Here is a 6,863-nt window from a genome sequence, read left to right as displayed (position 1 = left end):
TTTGTTTTTGGTTGGTTTGGTTTTGTCCCCAGGGCCCAGGGTACACTGAATTGTTGAGGTAGACATAAACAAGCTGTTACCTATCTGTCTCTTTCTCCTCTTTCACAAGTTTTACACCGACTTTTTAGGGCTCATTCTCTGATTGTCTTTTATAACAGAATTGTACTCCATATCTGATGATTCGGGCTCCAAGTATCCCAACTTAGTTACTTCTGGGTCTGCAACTCCTGGACACTGGTTGAAGGACCTCCTGTTTTCCTTGGGTTGCTTGGTAACAACAGTGAATGATCAGTGTTTTTGAAGTGAATTATGTATTACTGCTCTAATCAACACCTAAAAGAATGCCTAAACCTTCCAGGCACTCTGGAGAAATAGTCAATACTTTCTACTTATCCTTTGGAAGGAATTCCTCCTCTTGTCCTTGAATATTTATAATGATGGTTAGTATTTTATTACATATTCTACATGTAATAGTGAATATATCACAGCATTCAGAGAAATGTTGTTTCAATTTACCTCCAGCCTTGAAGGGTTTTGCTTTGTTTTGTTATTTTATTTTAGTTTTTGAGATGGAGTCTCACTCTGTCGCCCAGGCTGGAGTACAATGGCATGATCTTGGCTCACTGCAACCTCTGCCTCCCATGTTCAAGAAATTCTCCTGCCTCAGCCTCCCAAGTAGCTGGGACTACAGGCATGTGCCACCACATCCAGCTAATTTTTGTATTTTTTAGTAGAGACAGGGTTTCACCAAGTTGGCCAGGCTGGTCTCGAACTCCTGACCTCAAGTGATCCACCTGCCTCGGCCTCCCAAAGTGCTGGAATTACAGGCGTGAGCCACCACGCTAGGCCTGAAGGTTTTTTTTTCTCTACTTTTGCAAGAGATTAGATACAATTCAAAAGTAATGCAGCAGAAATTCGATAACTCGTTTGGGCCAAAACATTGCTTTATTTGTGGGTCTGCACCTTTATGGAAATTGTTGTAATGTAAAAAAGTATTCAACCCACCCATCTGTTGCTACCAAGTCAATTTTCATAACTGTGTACTAAAGGGTATTTATTGTCTTTGTGTATTTAATTTTCTTTATTATATTTGTACTTATTTTTCTTTATTACATTTTCTTCTGAACTATATATTTCCTTTATCTATGATGATCTGTTTAGTTTTATAATTATAATTTTATAATTGCCTAGGTGATTTGTAAGCATGTTCAAGGATGCAGAGATCTTCTTTCCCTAAGGTCAACTGCAAAGAAAGGAAACCAGGCAATAATAATAACAACAGAGGAAGGTATGAGAAGAATCAGTGAAGTAATTAGAAAACAAATTTGCTTATTATTGCAAAAAAAGAATTATTGCTAAGATACATGAGATCAATAACAATGGTTACAAAAGGGATTGAGATGGAAGCAAGATTTCTTTTTCTTGTGGTTGTGAGGTTGACAACTTATTTTCAAATGAGTCAAAACAAACATTGAGATGGATAGGTAGATGAGAGGTGACTGGCAGATAGGCAATAGATTCATAGAGTATAGATAACAGATAGATGGAGATAGATGTTTACTAAACAAACAGAAGAGTGATAGATGGTGGCTATATAAAGCCAGTGTGGCAACATTCATAACAGTGAGGTAACACTTGACATGAGAAAAAGGCAAAACATCAGATGAAATAGACTATCTTAAACCTCGTATCATAAATTTCTAAACCATAAACGTTTCTTCAGAGAGACTTCAAGTTTATGTGGTGTGTATAAAGTATTTCTAACACACTCTTTTCTTAAAAAAAAACAACAACAACAAAAAAAACACTGTAAATAACAGAAAGAATAACAACCAGCATAGAAACCATGACTTCATGTTCAATGAGCGGAGACAAATATTAGGTGAGAAAGGCTAAATTCCTAAGAGGGTGAAGGAGGAAGTCTTCAAAGTAGTGGTCACACAGAGGCTGGGGTCTACAGCGACTGTGCAAATCCCCCAGCGGGTAAGGGAGGAGGAAGGTGGCTGGCTGGTGGTACAATGCAGGGATGCAGTGCGGATGTGAAAGGTATGGTGTGTTTGGGGCTACGATCAGACATGGAGGGCTGTAAGTCATGATGGGTTAAGGTTGTACATTTTCTGTCAGTGATGAAAAACTGCTGTGTATTAGATGGTAAGGGCATGACTGCACTTATCTCTGGAGAGAGCTCACTGGCTGCAGGAGAAAGCTGAGTTAGAAGATGTTGAAAGAGGCCATCCACATGGTGTCCATCCACACGGTGGTCAACATGCAGGGCTCTGGGGGCCCTGACTCAGTGATGGTTTGGCCTCAGAGTCAGGCCTTGAGGACAGAAGCGGCTTGTCTTGCCAGCCACCAAATTCCCCATGCCCAGCACTCTGCCCGGCATGAATTTCCAAAATCTCTTGTTTCGGTGACTGGAATGACCGGAGTGCCCTTTTCCAAAGCAGGAAATAGATGAGAAAGTGCCCTGAGGTAGAAAATACAGAAGTGAGATTGATTTAGGGGTGAAAAACAGAGTCAGGTCTCGGAGAAAAGGCTCGTCATGCTTGGTAACGCTGGTGAGAACCTGGAATTGTTTGTTAGTGTTGTTGTGTGTGTGTTTTGGTCACGTAAATGTCTATAATCAGAATGTCTACACTGATATTGTGTCTTTTAAGATAAATAGTTCATACCCCCAATGGTAATGGTACCCAAAAGTTAATGCCCAATGGGGGTATTAACTTTTAATTTTGTACTGAACCTAATTGCTGTGCTTCAGAAGATCAAGGAGGAAAAGAAGAATCACTAGATCAGTGGTTCTCCATGTGAGCTGCTCCTTTGAATTATCTGAGGCTCTTCACAAATAATAATGGTGCCCAGCACACACCTCCAGGCCCCGGTTATAGCAGAATGTCTGGGGTTGGGGGGATCCTGGAGTCAAGCTCCCCAGGTGATTACAATTGCAACCAAGAGAATGAGCCTTTGTACAACAGTAAAAACAGGGGCTATTCAAAAGTAGAAACATTTTTTTAACTTTCATTAATGTAATCATTTCATTAATTCTTCTAGTAAAATATAGAGCCTTAATTTGGAGGCATTCCTGATAATTTAAAAATTATTGTTCTTCATACATTTATGTTAACTCAAAAATTAAATGAAATCCATTGCTTGAGTTTGACTCCTACGAGCCACATTGGGAAATGACTGAGTTGGAGTAAAAGCAATGAACCTTGGTTGAACTGAAGGGAGTCCACCTGTCTCTAGTAATCAACTGTATATAATATGAATAGGTGCTGCTACTAAGTTCTCTAAATACTTAGTGTTTTTTACAAATTCTCTAAGTACTTTTTGCTAGACCTCAGATTCACTGTCTGAAAAATAAGGTAGCTGGACATTAAGATTTCTAGATGAAATCTAGAAATAGATTTTATTTTATTTCTTTGTCATCTCTTAATTTTAAAGAAAACGTGTAATATATTTTTCATTCATTCTATTCATATTTGAATTTCTGAGTAAAGCTGCCATATATATGTATAACAAAAATAGTCATATTGAAATATTCATTTCAAAAGCTATCCTTAATTTAAGGCCTAGTGCCATTTTGATACCATTTTATACATCATTCTTAGAAAATACATTTCTGTATGACCTACATATGTATCTATATTGATATATTCATTATATTTTACATATGCACACACATACACACACACATATATATGTGCTTATCCAAGCATTGGATGTGCTTATCTTTGACAAAATCAATAATTCCTATTTGTTTACATGTCAAGCTTGGGGAATTATGAAGCACTGGAGCTTATACTTGGAACTCAACTTGTGTAGAACTAAGTTCTGCATATTCAGCTTTCTAAAGCCCTCATTTGGCACCTCCACCTCCTTTCAGGTCTCCACCCCCTTTCTAATGTTGTAACTTGTGCATTGATCTCCATCTGTCTTCATCTGAGAGACCTGCAGATATACGAGGGCTAGAGGAAAGGAGTCATCAATATCAGCTGTGGGTCAACATCTCCATCATCAACTTAAAACTGATTGGATGAATACATCAGGATAAGGCAGCGAGTTCTAGACACACCACAGACAGAAAAAGGTTGACCCAAGTCTTCTTGTATGAAGGGTTCTGCTCCTAAGTGTAAACCATGCCCTGGAGGACGTCAGGGCCAGCTGGTACCATCCACCTCTCCCTCCCACCAGACACTGCCCCTCCATCCTGCTGTGGGAGTCTGCAGAGGGACTCCCAAAGTGACAGTGCTTCAGCAGCCTCAAGCAGCAGGACCCTGAATTACAGCTTAGAGAAGACAGCCTTAGGGAGAACACTTCGGGCCCCATCAACGACGCCCTTGGGGAATCTGTGGGTGATTCCTCCACAGGCCCTGACCCGAAGGCTTCTGTGCTGACTTCCTTTCCTATACACATACGTCAACTTTCAACCTATTCCACACCCACTGCTTTTAAGAATAGACAACTAATGGAAGGTGAATTCCCATTGCAATCCATACGTGTATTGAATTTTCATGATTCAAATACACACTTTATCTTTGCAATTTCTCTTATTTCTCTACAATAATGTCATTAGTCCTAAAAACTACTAATGATACAATGCCTATAAATGAACTTAAAATTCAGAGTATAATTATGACTAGAAAGCAAACAATATAGAACACGATTGCAAGAATATTTCCAGCCCAGTGTAAGAGTTATTTTGATGTGCTGTTTCATTTTATTACATTAGCTATTTCCCTACTATCGAGCCTTTGTCTTTTCCCAACAATTGATGCTGAACCTTAATCCCACTGAAGTAAATGGAATAGTGTCCCCGCAAGTTCATGTTTTCCCAGAACCTCAAAATGTGACTTTATTGGAATAGAGCCTTGCAGATGTAATTATTTAAGATGTATTTATCTCAAGATGAAATCATCTTGGATTTAGAGTACATTCTAAATCCTGTGGTGTCTTTGTAAAAGGATACGGAGGTTTGAGAGACACACAGAGAAGGCTGTGTGAACACAGTAACAGAGACAGAGGTAAGAATGCCACGTCGACAGCCAGGGGTGTCCAAGGACTGCCAGCAGCCAGCGGATGCCAGCAAAGAGGCATGGAACTGATTGTCCTGCAGAGCCTCCAGAAGGAGCCAACCCTGACACCACCTTGATTTTGGACTTACGACCTCCTGAACTGTGAGAGAATAAATATGTGTTGTTTGAAGCCATCCAGTTGGTTATAATGTGTACAGCAGCCACAGGAAATTATGCACTTACCTTTCGGAATCAGTGTCATCAGACAGGCAGGGTGCTGGCATGCGGGTCCTGTCTGCCTTGCTGCACTGACTGCTAGGTGCCCCTCCCGCCACCCTTTGAGTGGCACGCTGACACTCAAAAATTCCCAGAGATGCCCTTTGAGATCGTCAAAGTTCAGATACTGGAAAGAGACAGACAGTTCTACAAGTGGCTGTAAACTGTTCATTCTTGTCTAGGACTTCCACTCTCCATAACCATCCTTCCGCTCCTCTGCTTAGCTGTGGGTCATGCTGAACCTAGAGGAGCTAGCACCAGCCCCAGAGTTCTCAGATTCCCCAGAGCCTGACTGATGTTTTCATCTCTGCACAGGCCCACTGTGTCTGCACCTCCCTCCTCGTGTGACATCTCACACCACCGTCCCCGCCAGCTCGGCATTCCTCTCATAGCCTGGATCTGTTATACTCATGGGTCATAGCAAAGCTCTCTTCTCAGATCTCCAAATTTGGCTCTGGACACATGAAGGCCAGGATTTTGCCATTATGGCCTCTGAAAAGGGTGATTGAAACTAAAAATTGAGCAATGGATTTTTTGTTTCTATAGGTGGTATCTGCCCTCTCTTAGAAGTGATAAATGCTGTTGATATGGTGGGTGGGAGGCTGCAGGGTGACCTGCTTTACTGTAAATTGAAAATACACTAGCTAATCATTTTTCAAGACATTATCTAACTACACAGCCTTCCATCATTCACTGATTCTGTTTTCAAGTAACTACTGTGTACCAGACCCTAGAGGTGATGGGAGCATTCTTGACTTCAGGAACCTCATGGTAAACAAATGTCATGAGCATGGCAATAGTGATTACAATGCACGGTAACAAGGTCTTCACAGGTATATGCACTGGCTCTGCTACAAGCTTTTTGGGGAGCAAAAGTCCTCCAGCTTTCTGCAGCCCCGCTGCCAGCCTGTCCCCATCACTTTTATAGCGCGAGCTTTTATAACCAGGGGTAGTATATAACAATTTAACCAGGGACATGAGCACGAGTATCCACAAAGCGATGACCAGTCAGCGTGGAAACGGCCGTAAACAACCCATGCTCGCCCTGCCCCACCCTGGCTGTTTTCTCACTTGGACTATTTGGAGACCTCTTTAGCAGTCATTGCAGGGCGGGGGTGGGGGTGCTGGTCATTACTCCCTGAAACCCCTCTTTCTCCGTAGGAGGTGAAGGACAGCGATGCTCTGCCCAACACAAGGCCTGTTGCGCTTCGTGACCTCCAGGGGGAGCCCAAGGCTCTTCCCCAGAGAAGAACTGCACTTGAAGACAGCTCTGGTGTTCAGGAGGAGGGGGTCCTCCTGGCCTTCTTATGGGAAGTTGCGTGTTTCAGGGAAGACAAATAGAGGCTCTCTCTGTGCCCACCACGTTTGGCAGCCAAGGAGGCCCCTTCTCTTTGGACCATTTCCCTTCCTGCAGCAGTTGGTCTCTGAGGCCACTGCCCTTGCTGCCCGTGGTGGAACGCATGCTCTCAGGCAGCTTTTCTGGACCTCACTTCTGCTGCTCCTGGGAAGTGCCCTCTCATAGGGTTGCCAGATAAAATATGGGATGCCCAATTGAATCTGAATTCAAGATAAGTA

General features: G+C 42.1%; 1 long non-coding RNA gene across 1 annotated transcript, besides 1 other annotated feature; it reads right to left on the bottom strand.

Annotated features, from left to right (window-relative positions):
- Positions 1–1,312: 1,312 nt before the first annotated feature.
- On the bottom strand, positions 1,313–5,559 carry LOC124903568 (uncharacterized). The gene is made up of 2 exons (XR_007064787.1): positions 5,256–5,559; positions 1,313–2,467 (listed from the first exon to the last, which is right to left on the bottom strand). It is a non-coding gene; the product is annotated as an uncharacterized LOC124903568 (long non-coding RNA).
- Positions 6,364–6,863: an enhancer, noted in NCBI's record as "H3K4me1 hESC enhancer chr15:26505515-26506014 (GRCh37/hg19 assembly coordinates)". NCBI's record gives its function as "activates a minimal SCP1, AML or CMV promoter by ChIP-STARR-seq in primed H9 embryonic stem cells {active_cell/tissue: H9 hESC(primed)}" and the evidence as "EXISTENCE:reporter gene assay evidence [ECO:0000049][PMID:30033119]".

The sequence above is a fragment of the Homo sapiens genome, chromosome 15 (assembly GCF_000001405.40).
Source record: "Homo sapiens chromosome 15, GRCh38.p14 Primary Assembly".
Taxonomy (NCBI): domain Eukaryota; kingdom Metazoa; phylum Chordata; class Mammalia; order Primates; family Hominidae; genus Homo; species Homo sapiens.
The sequence above is the reverse complement of the archived record's forward strand: the minus strand, read 5'-3'. Positions and strand labels throughout refer to the sequence as shown.